The 24187-nt window shown below is 41.7% G+C and overlaps 1 long non-coding RNA gene and 2 other non-coding genes across 5 annotated transcripts, besides 6 other annotated features; all 3 read right to left on the bottom strand.

The window, feature by feature from the left end:
- Window positions 13478-13777: an enhancer, noted in NCBI's record as "active region_21557". NCBI's record gives its function as "activates an Ori minimal core promoter by ATAC-STARR-seq in GM12878 lymphoblastoid cells {active_cell/tissue: GM12878}" and the evidence as "EXISTENCE:reporter gene assay evidence [ECO:0000049][PMID:35858748]".
- Window positions 13938-13987: a silencer, noted in NCBI's record as "silent region_15427". NCBI's record gives its function as "represses an Ori minimal core promoter by ATAC-STARR-seq in GM12878 lymphoblastoid cells {active_cell/tissue: GM12878}" and the evidence as "EXISTENCE:reporter gene assay evidence [ECO:0000049][PMID:35858748]".
- Window positions 14168-14307: a silencer, noted in NCBI's record as "silent region_15426". NCBI's record gives its function as "represses an Ori minimal core promoter by ATAC-STARR-seq in GM12878 lymphoblastoid cells {active_cell/tissue: GM12878}" and the evidence as "EXISTENCE:reporter gene assay evidence [ECO:0000049][PMID:35858748]".
- On the bottom strand, window positions 15603-23906 carry DANCR (differentiation antagonizing non-protein coding RNA). 3 transcript variants are annotated; one of them, NR_145129.1, is made up of 5 exons: window positions 23773-23906; window positions 23341-23476; window positions 22758-22806; window positions 22062-22101; window positions 15603-16432 (listed from the first exon to the last, which is right to left on the bottom strand). It is a non-coding gene; the product is annotated as a differentiation antagonizing non-protein coding RNA (long non-coding RNA). The 3 variants fall into 3 exon arrangements; NR_145130.1 differs by lacking the exons at window positions 22062-22101; window positions 22758-22806 and having other exon boundaries at window positions 15604-16432; NR_024031.2 differs by lacking the exons at window positions 15603-16432; window positions 22062-22101 and having other exon boundaries at window positions 22162-22806.
- Window positions 22930-23051, bottom strand: SNORA26 (small nucleolar RNA, H/ACA box 26). Its single transcript, NR_003016.1, has one exon. It is a non-coding gene; the product is annotated as a small nucleolar RNA, H/ACA box 26 (small nucleolar RNA).
- Window positions 23223-23272: an enhancer, noted in NCBI's record as "active region_21556". NCBI's record gives its function as "activates an Ori minimal core promoter by ATAC-STARR-seq in GM12878 lymphoblastoid cells {active_cell/tissue: GM12878}" and the evidence as "EXISTENCE:reporter gene assay evidence [ECO:0000049][PMID:35858748]".
- Window positions 23267-24100: a silencer, noted in NCBI's record as "fragment chr4:53578367-53579200 (GRCh37/hg19 assembly coordinates)". NCBI's record gives its function as "represses an EF-1alpha promoter that drives an FKBP-Casp9 reporter gene in an ReSE screen in HepG2 liver carcinoma cells {active_cell/tissue: HepG2}" and the evidence as "EXISTENCE:reporter gene assay evidence [ECO:0000049][PMID:32094911]".
- Window positions 23523-24092: a silencer, noted in NCBI's record as "silent region_15425". NCBI's record gives its function as "represses an Ori minimal core promoter by ATAC-STARR-seq in GM12878 lymphoblastoid cells {active_cell/tissue: GM12878}" and the evidence as "EXISTENCE:reporter gene assay evidence [ECO:0000049][PMID:35858748]".
- On the bottom strand, window positions 23553-23618 carry MIR4449 (microRNA 4449). Its single transcript, NR_039651.1, has one exon. It is a non-coding gene; the product is annotated as a microRNA 4449 (primary transcript).

Genomic DNA, 24187 nt, shown 5'->3' with positions numbered 1-24187 from the left:
ATATATGTGTGTATATATATGTGTATATATGTGTGTATATGTATGTGTATACATATGTGTATATATGTGTATATATGTGTGTATATATGTGTATATATACGTGTATATATGTGTATATACGTGTATATGTGTATATATGTGTGTATGTATATACATGTGTATATATGTGTATATATGTGTATATGTGTATATATGTGTGTATGTATATACATGTGTATATATGTGTATATATATGTGTATATATATATATGTATAAATTGAGTATTAAGTATTTCCAATGTGCTAGTCATTGTTCTAGGTGTTGGACATATAGCAGTGAACAAGACAGACATTCTGTCAATAGAAACAATTCACAAATTTAAAAATCACACTTTGAAAAGTGCCATAGTGAAAATAAAAACAGTGATATGGTTGAGAGTAGCTGGAAGGCTCCCTGTACAGGCAGCAGAGCACAGCAATTAAATAAAGGTGCTTATAAGCTACTTTCTTGCTGTATACTGAGATTTTTACCCAAATTTGCTGGGATTCAGTTTTCTTGCTATATGATGGGAATGATAATAGAATCTCTCTCATTGGGTTCTTGTGAGAATATTTTGAGTTTTGTATGTAAAGGGTTAGAAAGTGCCTGGCATATAGAAATATATTTTGGTTTTGTTTTAGGTTTGTTGTTGTTTTTAGGCAGGGTCTCACTCTGTCACCTAGTCTGGAGTGTAGTGGCAACCATGGCTCACTCTGATGTCTGCCTCCTGGGATCAAGCAATCCTCCCACCTCAGCCTCCCAAGTAGCTGGGACTACAGATGTGCACCACCATGCCCAGCTAATTTTTGTAGTTTTGTGGGTAGAGACAGGGTTTCACCATGTTGCCCAGTCTAGTCTTCAACTTGTGGGCTTGAATGATCCACCTGCCTCGGCCTCCCAAAGTGCTAGGATTACAGGTGTGAGCCACCATACCCAGCCTCTAGTCTTTGTTTTGTTTTTATTACTTTAAACTGAGGGCTCAGATAAAGCTTCTCAGAGAAAGAACTATGTAGGCTGGAATCTAAAGCATGTGAAGAATCCTGTCTTGTAAAGATGGGGGATTGTGAAGAGCATTCCAGACAAAAGAAACTGCTGGTAGAGGTTGGGCATGGTGGCTCACGCCTGTAATCCCAGCACTTTGGGAGACCAAGGCGGGTGGTTGACCTGAGATCAGGAGTTCAAGACCAGCCTGGCCAACATGGCGAAACCCTGTCTCTACTAAAAATACAAAAAAATTAGCCAGGCATGGTGGTGGGCACCTATAATCCCAGCTACTCGGGAGGCTGAGTCAGGAGAATCGCTTCAACCCCTGGGGCGGAGGTTGCAATGAGCTGAGATGGCCATTTCACTCCAGCCAGGGGGAAAGAAAAAAACTCCATCTTGGGGAAAAAAAAAAAGTGGCTGGGTGCGGTAGCTCACGCCTGTAATCCTAGCACTTTGGGAGGCCGAGGCGGGCAGATCACCTGAAGTCAGGAGTTCGAGACCAGCCTGACCAACATGGAGAAACCCATATCTACTAAAAATTAGCCAGGCATGGTGGTGCATGCCTGTAATCCCAGCTACTCAGGAGGCTAAGGCAGGAGAATCGCTTGAACCTGGGAGGCGGGGGTTGCGGTGAGCCAAGATTGTGCCATTGCACTCCAGCCTGGGCAACAAGAGTGTGAGACCATCTCGAAAGAAAGAAAGAGAGGGAGGGAGGGAGGGAGAGAGAGAGAGAGAGAGGAAAAGAAAAGAAAAGAAAAGAAAAGAAAAGAAAAGAAAAGAAAAGAAAAGAAAAGAAAAGAAAAAAGAAAAGAAACAACTGGTTGAGAGAGAGAGAGAGAAAGGAAAAGAAAAGAAAAGAAACAGCTGGTACAAAGACTCAGGTGGGACATATCAATGGCTGAAGTAGGCTGGCATAAGGTGAGGGATCATGTGAAACCTTATGAACCATGAGTAGGGATTTGGATTTTATTTTAGTGCACTGGGAAGGCAATGGAGAGTATTAAGTGTGAGAGTTGACCCTGCCTTATTAAGTTCTTTAAAAAGGATTACTTGGCTTTCCATGTGGAGTGTGGATTTTTAGGAAGGCAAGGGTAAAAGCAGAGAAACCTATTCGAGTAGGAGCTATTTCAGAAGTTAAAGCAAGACACACCATGTCCAGGATGGAAGTGGAGATGGATAAATTTTTTGGTCATACTTGATTTTTAAATCTTCCTATTCTGTTATTGTGCTTTTGTGTGTTCCATTGTGTAAGTATTTTACAGATACTTAAAATTGTAATATATATTCCAGTCTGTTTCTACCGAGGTCTTCAAAGCAGAAAGAAATTAATTTTTCTTTCATAGTTTGTTTTAAAAGTTGTTTTCTAATGGTTCCCTATTTTTGTAATGTTTAAGGCCTTCAGAGTATTTTTCAAGTTTCTATCCAATTATTCAACTATATTGGCCAACCATGGTGGCTCATGCCTGTAATCCTCGCACTTTGGGAGGCCAAAGTGGGAGGATCACTTAAGGCCAAGAGTTCAAGACCAGCCTGGGCAAGGTAGCAAGACTCTGTCTCTACAAAAAGTAAAAATTTTTAAAAATTTAAAAATTAGTTGGGCACAGTCATATGTGTGTGTGTGTGTATATATGTATATATGCGTGTGTATACATATATGTATACATGTGTGTACATATGTATACATGTGTGTACATGTGTGTACATATGTATACATGTGTGTATATATGTGTGTATATGTATACATATGTGTGTATATGTATACATATGTGTATATATGTATACATATTGTATATGTATACATATGTGTATATGTATATATGTATACATATGTGTATATATGTATATATGTGTATAAATATATACACACATATATATAGTATATAGAAAACTGTGTATGTGTATATACATACATATTGTGTATACATAGGATATATATGTACATCCCCTTCAGTTTTGAAAAACCTTATACAGCCATGTTTCCTCTTGCTTTCTTTAAACTTGGAGTTGTTTCTAGATTCTTAGTTCTTGAAATAGTATTTACTATGCCACTACTGTTTTGTAAGTGCTGCATAATAGGCTGTAAAAGCTGATAACAGCCCTTCTTGTTCAAATATTCTTTTATATTTAAATCCATTTATTTTGCCATGTTAATTTTTATAAATTCCCTTTATACTATATTTAGCATTCTCTGTATTTAACTGGAGTTGTATTGATGTAAAAATCTTATACACATTCATGCAATTTCATATTATATAGGGAGGACAAATATATAAAATATTTAGTCTCAAGCTTCAGACTTGTTTCTTTCGCACCCAGTCATCCACTGTGTATTTATTTTCTGTCTCCTTTCCCACCTATAAACTCACTCTATTCAACAATATGCTATAGCCCTCTACGTAGTCATTTCCTTTCTCAAAAGACTCCTCATAATAAACCTAAAAGCTAACACTGAAATGATGCTATTGTAGCAGGGACTGTTCTAAGCACTGTAGATTTTAAACTCATCTAATCCTTCTAATACTATGCAGTAGGTACTGTTATTTCCCCACTTTATACATAGATGAACTCAGGCACAGAGAGGTTAAATAACTCCCCAAGTTCCCACAGCTACTAAGTGCTGGAAGCCAGGAGTATCCCCTAAGCAGCCTGTTCTACAAGCCACTTTCTGAAGCATTGTCCAATATGGTTTATAATTAAACAAATAAATGTGTACTGCATCTTTTGTTTTAAGTCTTTTAATTTTTGTGGCTGTTATACATTGGATCTCTTATTTTTCAGCTGGTATGACTGGCTATCTAAGGATCCTATATAAGGATTATCTCTTTTTCTTGCCATTAACTATTTGTATACCTTCAGAACTTTTTAAAAGCTGATTATTTTGAATTTTCCAAGCATTTCAATTGTGTCACCTGCAAATAATGATGCTTTTCTTTCTTTCCTATAAAATTACATTAGCATGACATTCCCAAGGCAGTATTTAGTAATTGTATTAGTAAGAGTTAATTTTGTGGCCAGGCATGGTGGCTCATGCCTGTAATCCCAGCACTTTGGGAGGCCGAAGCAGGTGGATCACCTGAGGTCAGGAGTTCAAGACCAGCCTGGCCAACATGGCAAAACCCCATCTCTATAAATATACAAAAATTAGCCAGGTGTAGTGGCAGGCACCTGTAATCCCAGTTACTCAGAAGCCTGAGGCAGGGAGAATTGCTTGAACCCTGGAGGTGGAGGTTGCAGTGAGCTGAGATCACGCCACTGCATTCCAGCCTGGGTGACAGAGCGAGACTCCATCTCAAATAAATAAATAAATAAATAAAAAGTTAATTATCAGTCCTGCAATTAAAATGTGTTTAGAGTTTCATTAGTAGATTAACTTTTTAAAATATATTTGACTATATGCATCCTATTGCTGATAGGAGCAAACATTTCCTTAATAATTTTAGACAGAGCTGAGATTTTCCCCCTTAAGCTTAAATTATATGAGTAACTGCTTTGGTGGAAAGAGCTTGAAAACATGACAATGAATTTAATTCAGCTAAATTGGATTTGTAAGTATGGGAAACCTGAGTGTGGTTTAGAGATTGTAGGGAAAGGAAAAGAGCCTTAGATGAAACAATATTTATGAGGCAATTGTTTAGGGCACTAGTTCTCAAACTTGGCTGCACAGTGGAATCATGAGGTAAGATTTACAAAAGACACTGATGCCTGGGTCCCATTCCCAGGTAATGTCACATAATTTTTCAGGGGTGCAACATAGATACTGGGAACTTTTTAAAACCCCCAGTAATTCTAATGTATGATCAAACTGTATAACCACTTATTTAGTGGAGACTTTAAACCTATTTCCCATATTATGCAAACTCTGGTTAATAGGTTTGTGTAGCCCACTAATAAAATACACCAGCATGTACACCAGTGTTCAAAGAAACATTATTCACAATAGCCAAAAGGAGGAAACAACCCAAATGTCCATCAACAGATGAATGGACAAACAAAATGTGGTCAATACATACAATGGAATATAATTCAGCCTTAAAAAGTAAGAAAATTTTGACACGTTACAACATGGATGAACCTTGAAAACATCATGCTGAGTGAAATGAACCAGACATAAAAGGACAAATACTATATGGTTCCACTTACATAAGTTACCTAGAATAGTCAAATTCATAGAGACAGAAAGTAGAAATAGTGATTCCCAGGGCTGGGGGGGGAGCAGGAAATGGGGAATTATTATTTAACAGGCACAGAGTTCCAGTTTGGGATAATGAAAAAGTTCTGGAAATGGAAGTGGTGGTGGTTGGACAACATTGTGAGTCTATTCAATGCCATGGAAATGTACACTTGAAAATTGTTAAAAAGATAAATTTTGTGTTATGCATATTTTACGAGAAGAAAAAAAAATTTTAATGGAAGTGGGTAGGCTATGAACATCCTTTCCCAACTAGTTAACATTAACTAGAGTGCTAAGGATTATAATACAAGGCATTATAGTAATTGCTTTAATGGAATTTGTTTAGTGGTTATTTTTTCCTCTTACCATCTCCAAGGAAAGCAGGACTTACATTTTGCTAACAATTCTTACCCATTATAAAACTTTCACATGTGTGCAGACAGGTAGAGGCACAAAGCTGAACTCTGCAATGCACTGCTGTACTGCTGTGAGGGTTATTGTGTGTGGAGCCTTTTGAAGCAGAGATTAGAGGTGAGTCTCCTTCACCTCCACACCTTAGATATGCTCCTGCCTGGACTGTACATGTACACACCAAGCAAAACTAAGACATCAAAGTCATTTTTTTATTAAATGAGACATATGTCAAAGAAATATGATTTGTATCTGACTTGATGATGTTTCTGGCGTTCCAAAGGTGAATTGAACTGGAACACCTCTCTTTGGTATCAACGTTCATGAGAAAAATGAGGCCATTTATAAATGGTCTTGAGTAGTAAAAAGTAAGGGATCACAGTGTCGAAGAAAGGCCTTGATTTACTGTAGTCCTAGTGTTCTGCTTTAGCAGAAGATAGGTGAGCTTTCTAGGCTTGGTTTCCACATGCAAAACAATTATACCATAAATTCATGTATGAATGTAGCAAATTAATATTCAGAATGTCTAAAGTCTGAAAGATGTAGCATCCGAGAGATCTCCCACATATGTGTCTGTGGCAAGCAGAAAACTCTAGAGCTGCACCATCTAAAATGGGTTCTGGAAATGTGGCCAGTTCTGCTGAATGTATTAATTTCTTATGGCTGCAATAACAAATTACCACAAACCTGGTGGCTTAAAGCAACATACATTTATTGTTTTACAGTTCTGGAGCCCAGAAGTTTAAAATCAGTTTTGCTAGGCCATCATCAAGGTGACAGCAGGGTCACTCTCCCTCTGGAGGCTCTAGGAGACAATCTCTTTTTTTTGGTTTTGTTTTTTGTTTTTTTACCTTTTCCAGATTCTAGAGTTGCATTTTATGCATTCCTTTTGTTTTGTTTTCAACCTAGTCTTGCAGAAGCATGCATTCCTTGACTGGAGGCCCCTTACTCCAGCTCTGTCTTCAAAGCCTGCAGAATGGCCTCTTGCTTCAGTTGTCACATTGCCTTCTTTTGGCCTGTAGTAAAATCTCCTCCTGTGTCCTTCATGTAATGACACCTTTAATTACATTTAGGGCCCACCCAAATAACCCAGGATAATTTCCCCATCTCAAGATCCTTAGTTTAATTACATCTGCAATGTCCCTTCTGCCATGTGAAGTAATAATCACAGGTTCCTAGAATTAGGATGTGGAGATATTTGGAGGCCGTTATTCAGCCTTTCATACCAAAGAACTAAATTTTTAACTTTATTTTATTGTAGTTAGCCATAGGTCTAGGAGCTACTATATTGAACAGTATAAATATAGAACATTTCCCTCCTCACAGAAAGTCTATCGACACCGCTGTTCTAGAAGACATCTAGAAGCCAGTACCAGATGCTTCATTTTATTGCTATCTTTGGTTTGTTTTTGAGCTGCTCATTAAAAATATTTGTAAGATCTTATTTTTTAGAAATTCAGAGAATATCTTTCCATAGAAGGCCAAGGAAAAACAGTAGTGCTCTTTCAACCATCGAGCAAAGATTTAATGAGTATTTATGATGAAACAGGCACTGAGCTCTAAAAGAAATTTACAATCTACAATGTAATTGGTAAACATTATGATAGCAGGAAGCACTGGTACCATGAGATAAGAGATCTAGCCTGATGAGGTCAGGGAAGGAATTCTGGAGGATATAAAACCTATGTTAAGATGTGGCCAAGCTAAGAAGGCTTAACAAAATAAATAAATAATACACAGGCAGAGGGAAAAAGATACAAAAGATATCACTTATAGGACAGGAAGAAGTGTGCACAGAGGAAAGCAGTGGGGAGAGAGCTTTAGGAGTAGTCCTATATGACTGAAGAATATGCGGGGTTAGAAAGGGGAAGGTAGAAAAGAAGGCAAGGGCCAACTCTTGATAGGCCTAGTATGTCATAATTAGGTGTTTGGACTTTATCCTAACTGTCATTTAGGTTTGAATGCAAATAACAGAGGCCCTAATAGTAGTCATTTAAATAAGAAAATATTCATTTTTGTTCAGACCAGTGCTGATGTGGAGACTGTGCTTCACAGCATCCTCAGGGTCTCAAGTTCCTTCCACTTCATTCCTAGTGTGTGTGTTTCTCAGCCATCGCAAGTGTGAGAGTTTTTCAGCCATCCTAGTGTGTGAGTTTCTCAGCCATCTCTAGTGTGTTAGTTTTCTTCTTTTTATTTATTTTATTTTTTGAGGCAGAGTTTTGCTCTTGTTGCCCAGGCTGGAGTGCAATGGCATGATCTCGGCTCACTGCAACCTCCGCCTCCCAGGTTCAAGCTGTTCTCCTGCCTCAGCCTCCTGAGTAGCTGGGATTACAGACGTTTGCCACCACACCCAGCTAATTTTTTGTATTTTTAGTAGAGATGGGGTTTCACCATGTTGGTCAGGCTGGTCTCAAACTCCTGACATCAGGTGATCCACCCGCCTCAGCCTCCCAAAGTGCTGGGATTACAGGTGCGAGCCACCATGCCCAGCCCTTAGTGTGTTAGTTTTCTAAGGCTGGCATACAATGTACTACAAACTGGTATCTTCAACAGCAGAAATGTATCTTCTCACAGTCCTAGGGGCTAGAATTCTGAGATCAGCTATTAATAGGGTTGGTTCCTCCTAGGGCTGTGAGCACCAATCTGTTCCCTGACTCCTCTCTAGCTTCCAGGGGTTTGCTATGAACCTTTGGCATTCCTTGGCTTGTGGAAGTACCTCTGTCTTCATTTTCATGTTCATATCACATTCTTCCTGTGTTTATCTGTCTGTGTCCATATTTCCCATTTTTATAAGGACACCAGTCAAGTTGGTCATACCCTATTCCGGTACGACCTCATCTTAACTATTTACATCTGAAAGGTCACATTCCAAATAAGATCACATTCTGAGGTACTGGGAGTTAGGACTTCAACCTATGAATCTGAGGGAGGTACAATTCAGACCATAACGTCTAGGATGTGATTCTCATCCCTGTGGCCCAAGGTAGCAGCTAGAGATCCAGCCACCACATTCACATTCAGGGTCTTCTCAAAGGGCCCATTTCTGTAAGGTGAATTCATAGCTTAAATCTCAGCTCCAGCACTTACTATCTACAGGAGTTTGACTCCCCCCCACTCCACAACCTTAGCTTTATCATCTTGAAAATGAAGAAGCAACATTTACCTTTGCAGAGTTGTTATGATCATGAAAAATAACAAATACAAGAGCTTGGACTATAGTAGATGCTCAATGGTAACAGTGATCTGTTATTTGTCATCTATCTGCTCAGGGCCTTGCATAGTGCCTCTCACAGAGTAAGTGCTCCACAAACATTTTGTTGCCCAATGGAGATTTAGATCGTGCCTAAAGCCCTAGGCTACAGAAGGCTGAGGTTGGAGTGAGCTATGATTGCACCACTGCACTCCAGCCTGGGTGGAGTGCAGCGAGATCCAGTCTCTAAAAATAAAAATAAAGCCCTGGGCTAGACTGCAGTCTGGAAATTGATGATAAAATAGCCATCACAGTAGTATAAAACACAAAACATTGGAAAAGAAATAGTTATCAAATACAAACATTATAGGGAGAAATAAATACACACAATTTCTCAAGTAACATCTCAAGGATAAAATAAGTACAATGCATCATTTTACAGTCACAAGTCTACAGTGTCATGGATAGACTAGGACCATATGGCTTGAGGAATCCCTTACAGGAGCCAGATCTGACTCAGACCCCTGATTGCAAGTCTGAAGGCAAGCTCTCTCAAATACAGCTAGTGACAGCCCAGGGCTTTCCTGGAGCAGTAAGAGAATTAAGTGTGACCTTGGATGAGAGCAGGTAACGAACTACAAGTAATGGTAATTCAGCAGGAATCTTTTCCTATGATTTGGGGCTACTATTTTTTGGTGTCTGATCAAAGAAAATGTTTCCCAACTCACTAAGCTCTCCTGCACCTGACATAGTATTTGTATTGCAAAAAGTGCAAGGTTAAAAGAATTGGTGTCGTAACTATAGGAGGCTGTGTTCTGAGTTTTTGAAAAAAGGTTTTACATATATATTTTTGAAGAGCAGCCCGGCATGCAGCTATGAAATGAAGCATCTGGTATTGCCTTCTACATGCTTTCTAGAACAGTGTTATCCAGCAGAACTTTCTGCCAGGATAGAAATGTTCTATATCTGTGCTGTCCAATACAGTAGCCAATAGCCAGGTGGCTATTTAAATTTAAATTTAATTACATTGAAAATTCGGTTCACTGATACACTATTAAGGCTTACGATAAAGCTAAGTAATGAAGTCAGTTTGGCATTGTTGTAAAGGTAGAAAAACCAACTGATAGAACAAAACAGAGTCAGGAGACAGGACCACACATACGTGGTCACTTGACTTACGACAATTGCAAGTGGGAAAATGGATTTTTTGAATAAACATGCTGGATCAATTAGCTATCCACATAGAAACAACAGGCATCTGGACCTACCTCTATGTCCCTATTCACAACAATCAATTCCAAATGGATTGCAGATCTAAATGAGCAAACTAAAACATTAAAGCTTTTGGGGGGCCAGGCGTGGTGGTTCATGCCTGTAATCCCAGCACTTTGGGAGGCTGGGGCAGGTGGATCACAAGATCAGAAGATGGAGACCATCCTGGTCAACATGGTGAAACCATGTTTCTACTAACATACAAAAATTAGCTGGGCATAGTGGTGTGCACCTGTAGTCCCAGCTACTTGGGAGGCTGAGGCAGGGGAATTGCTTGAACCCAGGAGGAGGAGATTGTAGTGAGCCGAGATTGCGCCACTGCACTCCAGCCTGGTGACAGAGAGAGACTCCGTCTCAAAAAAAAAAAAAAAAAAAAAAAAAAAAAAAAAAAAAAAACAGGAGGAAACTTTATAACCTGGAGTAGGCAGAGATTTCTTAAATAAAACCAAAAAACACTAAATGTTAAAACTAATGAATTGAATATTTCAAAATTAAAGTTTTCTTCAAAAGATACCATTAAAAGAATGAAAAGTAACCAAATGGGGGAAAATATTTGTGACATATATACTTGACAAAGGATGAATATTTAGAATTCTAAAAACAAAAACATAATACTGTATACTTAAAAAATTGCTAAGAGGATATATCTTACATTGTGTTATTTTAAATTTATTTTATTTTTTTCAAATTTTATTTTAGACTCAGGGGTACATGTACAGGCTTGTTACCTGGGTATATTGCGCGATGCTGAGGTTTGGGGTACAAATGATCCCTTCAGCCAGGTACTGAGCATCGTACCCAACAGTTTTTCCAACTTTTCTCCCTCTCTTTCCCTCCCCCCATGTTAAGGGTTATTATCAATAATAATAATAAAGAGGTCAGGAGAAAACTTTTGGAGGTGATGGATTAGGTTCATGGCATAGATTGTGCTGATGGTTTTAAGGGTGTACACTTATCTCCAAACTTATGAAGTTGTGTACATTGAATATGTATAGCTTTTTAGCATGCCAATCATACTTCAATAAAGTCATTTTTAAAAATCTTCTTACAATGGATAAACAAGCTGTGATATATTCATCCAATGGAATAGTACTCAGAAATAAGGAGGAATAAGTTATTGACACATGCAACAATATGAATAAATCTCAAACACAGCATGCTGAGTGCAAGAAGCCTTATACAGAAGAACATACTGTATGATTCCAGTTATATGGTCTTCTGAAACAGGCAAATCTAATCTACAGTGAGGAAAAAAATTAGAACATTGGTTGTCCCTGGGAAAGTGGAAATGGTAGGGAGCATGAAGGACTTTCCGGGGTGATAGTATGTTCTATACTTGATAGAAGTTTGGGTTATACAAATGAATGCATTTGTCAAAACTCAGCAAATATATACACTAAAGATTTGTGCATTTCATTTCATGTAAATTTTACATCAAAAGAAACCTGAAGTATTAAATTCTAGTTAATGATATACATGCTGAAATATTAATATTTAAATGGCCAAATATGTATTGCTGTTTGCAATTTACTTTGAAATGCAACAACATTAAGATAGATACAGGTAAATGTAGAAATATCCTAAAGTGAGTGTTATATAATGTTAATGGTAGAATAATCTATGTGGTAAGTTTACAGACGCTATTGTAAAACTCTTTAAACTTTGCTAAATATTTGAAATTTTTCATAATCAAATGTTAGGAAAATACAAATTTAAAAGACACTAAAAATGGGCACAGATTTTAACAGACACTTCATGAAGTTATTTCTTAATAGCCAATAAAGAGATGAAAAGGTGCTCAACTTCATTAATCATCAGGGAGCTGCAAATCAAAATCACCTGAAGCACAATTATCACCCACCAAAATGGCTAAAATGAAAAAAGATGGAAAATACCAAGTGTTGATGAGAATGTGGAACAACTGGAATACTCATATGTTGCTGATAAGTGTAAATTGGCTCAAACACTTTGAAAAACTGTTTTAAAATATTTAATATCTACTAAATTTGAACATGGTATATAACCTATGATCCAATAATTCCATTTGTAGGTATACACCGAACAGAAATGCAATCATCTTTTATCATGTTCATCAGAAGACGTTTATTACAATGTTCATAGCAGCAATATTTTTAATAGTTCCAAAATGTAGACTACTCCAATGCCTATCAACAATTGGTTGAATACATAAATTGTGGTATATTCACAAAATGGACTGCACTGCAGCATTCTCATGAGCAAACTGTGACTATACTCAAAATATGGATGAACCTCATGACCATCATAGTGAGTTAAAGAAACCAGACACAAAAAATCACATGTATATAATGCACAAACACAAGGATACTGCTCTATGCTGTTAGAAGTCAGGCTAGCGGTTACCTTTGGGTGAAAAGGAGTGGTTAGCTACCGGAAGGAAATACTTCTGGTGTACTGTTTCTTTCTTTCTTTCCTTTCTTTCCCTTCTTTTCTTTCCTTTCTTTCTCTTCGTTTCTTTCCCCTCCCTCCGTCCCTCCCTCCCTCCCTCCCTTCCTTCCTTCCTTCCCTCCCTTTCTTCCTTCCCTTTCTCTCTCTCTTTCTTTCTATTTCTTTTTTTCTTTTTTTTAATGTAGTATAGCTCTGTCACCCAGGCTGGAGTGCAGTGGCATGATCTCGCTCACTGCAACCTCCACCTCCCGGGTTCAAGCGATTCCCCTGCCTCAGCCTCCGGAGTAGCTAGGATTACAGACGTGTGCCACCACACCCAGCTAATTTTTGTATTTTTAGTAGAGACAGGGTTTCACCATGTAGGCCAGGCTGGTCTCAAACTCCTGACCTCAAGCGATCTGCCCACCTCGGCCTCCCAAAGTGCTGGGATTACAGGCATGAACCACCACGCCCCGCCATGTTCTGTTTCTTAAATTAGTTGTTGGTGGCAGGACTGTGATTAGTTTGTGAAATTTCAGCCGAATGTGCATTTTTGTGTACTCATCTGTGGTCATGTTATATTTCAATAAAAAGCAGTCTCTGCCAGAACCTACAGGCAATGAGGTGCCACAGAAGGAGTTGACATTTGAGAGGCTTGAGAAGGGTTTAAGAGACACAATCAGATTTGCATTAGGAAGATTAATCTTTGGCTTTGGAGGATGACCGGGAAAGGAGTTGGGAGCTATTTGTAGAACTAATCCAGGCAAGCAATTATGAAGGTCTGAATTAGAGCAAGGGAATAGGAATGAGGACAGGATACAGCTGATATTTAGGAAGTAAACATGACAGGACGTGAGCCGATCACTAAATCCTCCTGCTCATGTTTCCTTGCTTGAAAAATAAGGAATAACAGTACCTACTTCATTGGGACTAGTTTGATGATTTAATGAGGGGGAGTGGTTTTAGATTTATAAAATATATATATGCTTATTGTATACCATACCTAGACATAAGGTATTAATATTAGAAAGCTCTAAGAGAAATATCTTGATTTTGGCATTGTCCCTGCGACGCTGCCTTCTCCCTGCCTAGGATGGATCAGCGTGGGACACAGGGTAGAAGGCAGAGGTACAGAATACCACAGGACATGTCAGAACGTGGGCGTGAAACGGGCCCAAGGGACCACGGGTGAAGGTCTAGGACTCTTCCAGCAGCCTGAGCGCCAGCAGAAGGAACCAAAACTAACCCAGGCGTTTCCTCTCCTCCTCCCCAGCCTTTCGGCCGAGAAGCAGACCGGCGGAACGCGACGGGGATTCAGGCCTAGGGGTGGGCTTGAGGCCGGAAAAATGGCCAATGGAACGAGAGCTTCTCCGTGCTTAGCCAATTGCATGACCCCCCCCCCAGGACCGCCCCCATCCGGTGATTGGCAGACACGTCTCCCAGTGTTGTCGCGGCCTGCTAAGGCTCTCAGAACTCCCGCGAGGGTGCGGGTCTTCCTCCAGCGCTGGGCTACTTGGTCCCGCCCCTCAAGGTATTTCTGCTCCTTGTGTGCCAGGGACCCCGGTAGTCCTGCTCCTGCTCTGGACCTGGAGCCAGGAGGTGGCTGGGAGGTGGGCGCGGTGAGGAGGTCTGAGCAGCCGCAGGCTCTGGGCCGCTTCGCCTCGAATCCGGGACCCGCGGGACCCGCAGGACCCGTAGTGCCTGGGGCCGAGGTGGGCGCGGCCCGGGCTCTCATGCTTTCCCTCACGCGCACCTGCCTTTTCCGCGGGGCCCGGGGCGGCTCCCCTGCCAGTTGGCGGGAGTAACCCGTAGTAGTAAAGCGCGACTGGATTAGGCCCTGTGTATTGAAGGGTTTGCGATCTTGAAAGGAACATTTGCATTAAAAACAGTGGGCAAACTTGTTTGTGGTCCTGTTGGTAACACACTTTTAGGGGGTGCAGTACAGTATGTTACCATACTTGGGGGATTAGCCGCCGTAGTTAAATGGTGGGTTCCTGTTGTTCCCAGCCCATTTCTAGCTAATTTAAAGAGAGTTTAAATAGGATAAGGTCCCGTTTACATCTTCCAGTGCCTAATACAAATATTTTAAGCAGCCCTATCAGCCTCCCCAAAAGGTAAAGGAGATTCCCCCAGTAAAGGCACATGACACTATGTATTGAATTCTTTTTTTTTTTTTTAAGACGGTGTCGCTCTGTCGCCCAGGCTGGAGTGCAGTGGCGCGATCTCGGCTCACTGCAACCTCTACCTCCCGAGTTCAAGCGATCATCCCACCTCAGCCTCCCAAGTAGCTGGGATTACAGGCGCCAGCCACCACGCCCGGCTAATTTTTGTATATTTTGTAGAGACGGGGTTTCACCATGTTGGCCAGGCTGGTCTTGAACTCCTGACCTCAGGTGATCCGCCGGAATCGGCCTCCCAAAGTGCTGGGATTACAGGTGTGAGCTACCACGCCCGGCCTGTATTGATTTCTTGAATTTAGCAAACACCACAAAATTATCTTAAAGTAGCCTGTACTTAATACCATAAGAAAGACCAGCCTGAGTCTGTTTTCCCTGAAAGCAAAGCACTGAAAAAATCGTGCAATCGGGAAGAGAATACAAAATACTGTAGATACCTGAGTCTTCAGTGTACAGCCAAGTGGCAATATACATGTTATTAGGATGTATTTTTAAGTCTTAGGTTCTTTCGGGGTGGGACAGTGCCGACTAATAATTAAAGTATTTCATATATCATTTTCCTATTAATTGGACAAGAAAAAGCTGATTTATTTTCGACCCTTTTGTAGGTGGGAAAATAGCAGGCTAAGATGATATAGCACTGAAATCTTTATCAGCTTCTCCAAAGATTATTTGTACTCATCTGTTGAAATATTTACCAATTTTTCTTTGTGTAGTTTGTGAAATTGCTGGAATAGGTTATGTTTCAGCTGGCTACAACAGAGCTTTTAAGGTTGCCAACTAACTTTCTTAGATGTGAATAGAGTTATTCTTTTGTTGACCTAAAAATTGTTGACTGTTAGAGCAAAGAATTCATATTAAATTTTGTGTAAAGTTAAATATGTCAGTGAGACACCTGAAATAGACTATTTTGGTATATTGCATTTGAACCTCCCTATCAATAGCAATCAAAAAACCATAATTCCAATCTGGCTATTTCTGAATATACAGCCAAGACAAGTGGCAATTAGAACTGTTAAAAGTAGTTTCTGGCTGGGTCCAGTGGCTCACCCCTGTAATCCCAGAACTTTGGGAGGCTGAGGCAGGAGGATCACTTGAGCCCGTGAGTTCAAGACAGGCCTGGGCAACATAGGGAGACCCCCCCACCTCTATAAAAAACAACAATAACAAAATTAGCCAGGTCTGGTGGTACACACCTGTGGTCCCACCTACTCAGGAGGCTGAGGTGGGAGGATCGCTTGAGCCTAGGGTACCAAGGCCGCAGTGAACTATGATTGTTCCACTATACTCCATCCAGCCTGGGTGACAGAGGAAGACCCTGTCACAAAAGAGAAACAAAAAAAAAAAGTAGTTTCCGGTGATGACATATCAAGAGCAAGAATTTTTGACTGGCACAAAAGGTTTAAAGAAGGTAAGGATGATACCCATGGTGATGTGCAAAGCGGTCATCCAGTCACCCACAGAATCCAATTAAATGCTGAGAGCCAGAAATTCGGTTTTCTCAAATAGCCAATTAACTATGAGAAAAATAGCAGAAAAGTTTCATTCTGTAAGAAAACTTGCAGCTGATGAAAGCTTCTAGGAAGATTTTTATCTCCTGCTATTGTGGCTGAAGATCTCATGGAGGCCAAACCAAAATAGGGCTAAGCAGGAGCCTGCAGCTTGGGTGTGTATTCAGGGCATGATCCTGTTTTGTTCATTGGTCTTGGAGAAATTTCAGACTGAAACAAGCTGAGCATCTTCAAAGATTTTTTCACAGGCTTTTGTAGGTTCATGACTTAAACAGCGTGAAACTTGTAGAGCTGGATATGACCAAAAGAAGAGGATGGAACCAGTTTATTAGGAGGAACAAACTGTTATCTCACAGTAAGGAACTAACTGTAGGAGAATTTCTACCTTATTTCTTCAAAGTGAGCTCATCAGGTTACCTGCAGGGTAAGCAGTTAAACCTTCAACAGGGAGCTAGCAATTGTTATTCTGTACGGACACATCTCAAAAGTAGTCTGAGACTGGCCATACTTGGGCAGAAATATTTAACTTGTAATAATGAAACTTCTTTTGGGAGTGGAAGATGGAGCTCAGATGTTGGAAACAGGGATTCGATTAAGAAAGAAAAAGCAATGAAGAATTGTGGGCAGTTTAAGCATTAAATAAAAATATACTGTTCTCGCAGGGTGTGGTGGCTCACACCTGTAATCCCAGCACTTTGGGAGGCCAAGGCGGGCGGATCACGAGGTCAGGAGATTGAGACCATCCTGGCTAACACGGTGAAACCCTGTCACTACTAAAAATACAAAAAATTAGCCAGGCGTGGTGGTGGGCGCCTGTAGTCCCAGCTACTCTAGAGGCTGAGGCAGGACAATGGCGTGAACCTGGGAGGCGGAGCTTGCAGTGAATCGAGATCATGCCACTGCACTCTAGCCTGGGAGACAGAGCAAGACTCCACCTCAAAAAAAAAAAAAAAAAAAAAAAAAAAAAATATATATATATATATATACACACACACACACACACACACACACACTGTTCTCTTTCACTCTTCCCACCCACCAAAACGTGAGGACCTGATTATGTTCAGAATCTCACGATACTTTGTTCTTTAAATAATCTAAATTTCACTTTTAAATGGATTTTTATATATAAACTGTTCATCTCTAGGATTTAGAATAAAGGGCAAATAGGGTTCAGTCTGATCCTTTCATCATGAGAATGAGATTCTATAGTTTGAGAAGTTTCAAAGGGTATTAACAAGTAAACAATATATACAATCTTTTCAAGTGACTGAGTTTTGACCTTCATATGCTATGTTTCAGCTCTACAGCATTCAATAAAGGAAAGCTTGAATTACTTGAATATTCGTGAGCCCACGAATAGCCTCAAGTACATCATGGTCCAGTCAAATGATGGTTTTGCTCAAACACTTTAATAAAAAAGCATTAGTAATTCATGTCAGTTGATATAGATAAGGTATTCTTACACAGAATAGGTGAAAAATGGTTTCACACAGAAGAAATTTTGATACATCTAGAAAATGTAAAGGATTTCAGATAGTATTTTTGTCAATTAACATGTTAGTTTAGGGAGCTAGGTGAACCATGTGTTATTCCATCACATAATAAATTTGAGTTCAATATGAACTTCTCATTAAAAAACTTAGGTTCTTTGCCCCAATTTCCTTCTCAGTCTCTAGTATAGTGCTGTTTAAGTGTAGTATCCCGTAATTCAGAATTAGTATTATTGCAACCTAGTGGCAAGGACTTAAGTCAGAGCCTTGTGGTAGCTGACCCTGGGAAGACTGGTTTCATTAGTCATACTACTTTTCTGGAGTCAGGGTCTTGCTGTTGCCCAGGCTGGAGAGCAGTGAGTCATGTCTCACTGCAGCCTTGAACTTGTGGGCTCAAGCCATCCTCCCTCCTCAGCCTCCCAAGTAGATTAGATGACTGTGCCCAGCTAAGTTTTTGGCTTTTTGTAGAGATGGGGTCTTGCTTTGTTGCTCAGGCTGGTCTCGAACTCCTGGCCTCAAGCGGTCCCCATGCCTCAGCCTCCCAAAGAGCTGGGATTACAGGCTGTGCCTAGCTGATATATATATATATATATTTTTAAAGGACACTAGTACTATTATGTCCTTTTAAGTCCTCTTTTACATCTCATGTTTCATACACCAAAAACACCTAATAGGCTGACAGATGCTCCCTTTGTGCCAAATTTTGAGAACCTTCTCTTGCCGAGATTCAAGTTTACATTTCTTAAAACACAAACCAAAACTGAGGTTTATGAAAACATTATCTCACTTTAGCAGTTTGTATTACCTCCAGGACACTGCTGGCTGAAGCTGTACAGCCCGCAGGGCAAAAATTATAATTAGAATGCTTTTCCTATTGTCTTAATTTGCTTCAGTTATTGAATTTTTAAAATGTGGTGTCTTGTGCTGTATAAATACAAGTGTGCATAAGTGACTTTCCAATAAACCATAAATTGATTCCTTACTTTTCACAATGCTTTATTAGGAGGTATGTGCTGACCCCACATATTTTAGCCACATGCACATGCTCATGTATCTCAAGATTAAAGTCTAAATACATTTTAAATTCATGGTTATACCTTTAAAAAATGACTAATGGGCCGGGCGCGGTGGCTCATGCCTGTAATCCCAGCACTTTGGGAGGCTGAGGCAGGTGCATCACAAGGTCAGGAGATCGAAACCACCCTGGCTAACACGGTGAAAACCCGTCTCTACTAAAAATACAAAAAAGTAGCCGGGCGTGGTGGCGGGCGCCTGTAGTCCCAGCTCTCGGGAGGCTGAGGCAGGAGAACAGCATGAACCCAGGAGGCGGAGCTTGCAGTGAGCCGAGATCGCGCCACTGCACTCCAGCCTGGGCGACAGAGTGAGACTCTCTCAATAAAATAAAATAAAATAAAAAGGACTAATGAATATACATAGGATCTACTCCCAACCACCCACACGGCACTAATAAAAACAAGGGAGGAAGGCTGAGGTGGTGGGGTTCTTGCCCCAGCTATATTTGTGATCTTAGAGGCTGCTGTAACAAATTATAACTTGGTGGCTTAAAACAGCAATTTATTCTCAGTTCTGAAGGCCAGAAGTCAGAAATCAGTTTCACTGAGCCAAATCAAATGATGCTCCTCAGGAGGCTCTGATGGGGAATGTGTTCCTTGGCATCTCCCAGCTCCTGGGGGCTGCCTCACTCTGATCTTCAAGGCCAGCATCTTCCAATCTGCTGTGTGTGGATATCCCTCAGCCTCCCTCTCATGAGGGAACTTGTGATCGCATTTAGGGCCCACTAGGATTATCCAAGGTAATCTCCCCATCCTGAGATCCTTAATCTAATTATATTAATATCTGCAAATAAGGTAACATTTACAGGTTCGAGAGATTAGGCCTGATTATCTCGAGAGGCGGTCATTCAGACTACACTGTCTTTCCAGGTTCTGACAGGTTTTCTCTTCTGAAAAGTTGGTTGATTCATGCAATGTCTACAACAGTACTGCTAATAAAACCCTGCAGTAATGGAAATGTTTTCTGTCTGTGCTGCCCCTAGCCACATGTGGATTTTGAGCCATGGACGTGTTACAGGGCCTCTGCCCAAGTAACTCAAGGGGCAAAGGACCACCACCAGGACTCCGTGGAGTGCTTTGTGAAACCAGTGGTTATTCTTGACAACTATTTGCTAGAGCCTTCAGACTTTTAACACAGTTTTTACACCTTTCATCTTGACAGTACCTAGAAAACCTTGCCATTCTCTTGGCCCACTTCACTGGACCACTGTTCTGACAGAACTTGCTAGGGCCTTTTAAGGCTCTGGGGTTGTTTTCTGTATATTGATGTTCTATGTCTGTGCTGCCCCTAGCCACATGCAGCTATCGAATATCTGAAATGTCAAAACCAACCATATCCACTGATTTTTGTATACTTGCTCACTGATTCTCGTGATACCTAGAATAGTACTTGGCCCATAGTTAATGCTCCATTAAAAGAACATTAGAGCTATTCCAGTATTATGTAAATACTAAGTATCAGTTCCAATTTTAGTAGATGTGCTGCTGAAACACACACAGTACTAAATATCAGTATTGTCATTTTGTTCTTACATTATGACTATACGGTGTTATAAAAATGATTAAATAGTACTACCAACTAATATATCATTTGCTGAGTATTTACTACTTACCAAGTAGTCTGATGTACCACATATAACTCATTTTAATTACTTGTTAATAGAACCTAACACTAAGAGGTTTAAGATCACACACAGAGATTTGAACCTAGGCTCAACATTATGCGGCCCTTAGAAGGGGACTGTAAGCCACTTACCTACAAAAGGTCAAGCACCTGACTAGACCCTCTGTAATATGGTGGGAACTAAGGTGGACTTTACAGAATGGAGAGAAGCAGAGGCAGTTAGGTAAGTTTGCATGCGATGCGCAATGTAGTTCTGATGCTACAGGGCCATTACAGGGTGCTAAAGAAAATCAAGAACACATAGAAGGGCTGATGGTGGTCAGAGAAAAGTTAGGTTAAGAGCAGTAAAGTATAAGGCAATAGGGAGCATTCCAATTAAATTAAAACATTCAGAGCCCCGCAGGCCAGAGCACGTTGCCATTTTACCATAGTTTGAAAATAACCAACTTTCCACTACTACAGACATAAAGTCCTCCGCTCCTTAAGGGCACTTCTCTACAGCTTCACTGCTTCTCCAAACCTTTAAACACAACTATCCTCAGGGCCTTTGCACTAGTTTTCCCTCTGCCTAGAATGCTCTTCCCTCAACTATAGATAAGGCCATGGCATCTCCCTCAGCTCTTTCATGTTGAGTGAGGCCTCCCTTGCCGGCCATGTTAAGTCATCTCCCTTTCCTTACCCCCTTAGCAATTATAGCCAGCTAACACATTAGTTGAATGTATTTTTTGTACTAGTCTGTTCTCACATTGCTATAAAGAACTGAGACTGGGTAATTTATAAAGAAAAGGTTTGTCTCATGGTTCAGCAGGCTGCACAGGGAGCATGGCTGCTGAGGCTTCAGGAAACTTACAATCATGGGGTATGTCTAACAGGAAGCACATGGCCAGAGTAGGAGGAAGGGGAGGTGCCACACTTTTAATCTAAACTCTGCCATTCTTCTGCCTCTGCCTTGAGATAACATGTGCACAATTGCATAACCTTTATTTTTATTAATTTTTCTTTTCAGGCTGGAGCACGGTGACAAGATCATGGCTCAGTGCAGTCTCAACCTCTTGGGCTCAAGCAATCCTTCTGCCTCATTTTTTGTAGAGACGAGGTCTTACTATGTTGCCCAAGATAGTCTTAACTCCTGACCTCAAGTGATCCCCCTGCCTTGGCCTTCCCAAGTGCTGGGATTACAGGCATGAGCCACTGCCCCAGCCACACTACACATCTAAACAACCAGATCTCATGAGAACTCACTATCACAAGGAACAGCAAGAGGGAAATCCACCCTTTTCATCCAATCACGTCCCACCAGGCCCCTCCTCTAACATCGGGATTACAATTCAACATTATCCAAACTTGTGAGCAATTACCTAAATTTATGAGGCTAGACTTTACAATATGGAACATAAAAGTTTAGATAAAAAGGTAAGAACAATGCTATGAATTAAGAATGACTCCAAGATAAATATTAATACTTGCTACATAGACACACACAAAAAAACAGAATATGCTGACAGATACTCCTTCTGTGCCAAATTTTGTGAACCTTCTTAGGCTCAATGCAATGAAATAATATGAAGAGTTTATATTCTTAACAGCTCGACTGTGGTCCTTTCCTAGTTTGGTTGAAATAATTCTTAACTGTTACACCAGGACACCAAATCTCAAGAGACAAGTGACTTTCCAGAAGTCACATTGCCTAAAAGTTATACATGTGAAGCCTCTCATTCAGAGATACTCACAGGTGATGAAACTTGAGTTATCACTAATCCATTTCTTTACCTGTGAAATGGGAGAATAGAATCTGTAAGGTTAGCCGAGAGAAAAGACAAGAGACCCAAGGTCAGGCCAAGTAAGTTTATTAACCTGCCAGGCTTCTCCACCAGTCGGAGGTGGCAGCCCTGAGCTTACAAAATGAGGGGTTTATATGGGGGAGAGAGACCCTGGGGTTGTTAGTCAATTAACTTTACCACATATAATCTCATGACCGGCTTACAATATATTATCTTGTGAAAATAGGAATTTACAAGGGGGTGTAATCCACGTTTCTCATGACCTCCCCCGTGCCACCCAGAGGGCTTCGGTGTAGCAAGTCTGGTGACCTTGCTATAGCGCCTAGATAACGGTTCAGGAATGCAGCTGCAGAGTATTCAGGGTAAGGGTCAGCTGCATTGAGTTAGCGGGGGCGGAGTGGTCCTGGGGCAGCCTGTCCCTAACAGAATCCACCTCCGAGTTGTGACAATTAAATGAAAAGGTTGAAAAGGTGAACATGAAGCACCTGCTACACTGCCCTGTTGCCACCAGCATTGTCACTGCTCTAGCTCCTGTGGCACTGCACGGACACGTGGTTGCTACAAGTTAGTACGCATATTTGGCCTTATTAGAGGCACTTTCCTATTGTAACTGAAGGGATAGTTGGCTTAAGTCAATTGAAATACCAGCAACAGGACATTCCAGCTTCAATGGCTTGTGCCTGTAGTTGTCAACCTATAGAAAGAAAAGTTTTAAAATGACGTTTTAACCAAAGAAAACTGAAATGTATTGCTTGTTCTATAAACTGTAAAGAAAATCACAAAGGCGCTCAAGTTGTAACGAAACTTTTTCTGGTTCAGTTGTGACTCCAGACAGGATCCAAAGAGGAGCTTTCCAGTCTCTTCTCTGGGTTTTATGGAGACTTACTTTACCCTTCTGTGTTAGCCTCTTAAAGCACTGGGTCAACCTTAAAAGGGCACAGGAAAGGGTGCTTTGTGATTTTTTTTCTTTGATTTTTACAGGGTTCACTACTATTTTCCGCGTTGCTCTCAATACCTCGTGGATCTCTGCTTCTCTAAGTCTGAAACCACACTAGAAACACAGCTGTTTTGTTTGGTGAGCCCCTACATGGATGTTTCCTTCCAGTTAAGGGGAGCCGGATTCGGACCTTGGCGACAAACAGACGCCGGGGAACCCTCCGGTCCCACTGGCCACGTGCTCCAGGCTGACTCATTCCTTCCCCCACCCCGCTCAAGGCTAGGAACATACCTGCGCTAAGAACTGAGGCAGCTGCACTTCCGCAGACGTAAGAGACGAACTCCTGGAGCTCAAGGTCGGCTGGGGTTGGGTTCCTGTCCCGCACGCGTGGCCCGCCCGAAACCCGCTACATAGTGGCGCGTCAGCCCTGGGGAAGCAAAGCGCAAAATTGTTACGGTGCCCAGACCTGCGCCGGGAACCTCCGGCTGTTCCGCTGGGCGCGGCGCCTGTGCCTCGCGCAGCCCCGGGACGGGCACCGCCGCCCGCCCCCCGGGCCGCCGAGGGCTGCTCTACCCCTCCGTTCTGGCCGCCGGGAGCAGAGGAGCTCGAGGCGGGCAAAGCTCGTGGGGACACCGGGCGAGCCCAGCCCCTGATCGGACCCACGGGCCGGCCGGGCGCCCTCCCCGCGGGAGACCGAAAGCCGAAGACTGGAGATGCACTCACCGCGCAACTCCAGCTGACAAAGAGGCCTGCGACCTGCGACGGGCGCACAAACCAGAGAGGCGGCGCGGGGCGGGGAGGGAAGCAGGAGGGTCGCGAGGCCCGCAGCCAATCCCGGGAAGACTCTGGGCAAGGGCGGGGCGCGCAGCCGATCCCCTGGAGAGGTCGGGTAGCTCAGCCAATCCCGGGAAGATCCTGAGCGGGGCGGGGTGGAGGGCCGCGGCACGCACAGCCAATCCCGGATGGGGCGGGACGGGCCCGGCCATTGGCTGTCGGTGTCCGGGGCCGGCCTAGGTGTGGCTCATGCAGTAGCACGGGGATAAGCCATGTCTGCGCGCGGAGCATCCTTCTCTGAATTAGATTTTTCAGGCTACCTACCAATCCCCGGCGTTGGTGATTTTGGTGCTCTTGGGCCCTA

The sequence above is a fragment of the Homo sapiens genome, chromosome 4, assembly GCF_000001405.40.
Source record: "Homo sapiens chromosome 4, GRCh38.p14 Primary Assembly".
Taxonomy (NCBI): domain Eukaryota; kingdom Metazoa; phylum Chordata; class Mammalia; order Primates; family Hominidae; genus Homo; species Homo sapiens.
The sequence above is the reverse complement of the archived record's forward strand: the minus strand, read 5'-3'. Positions and strand labels throughout refer to the sequence as shown.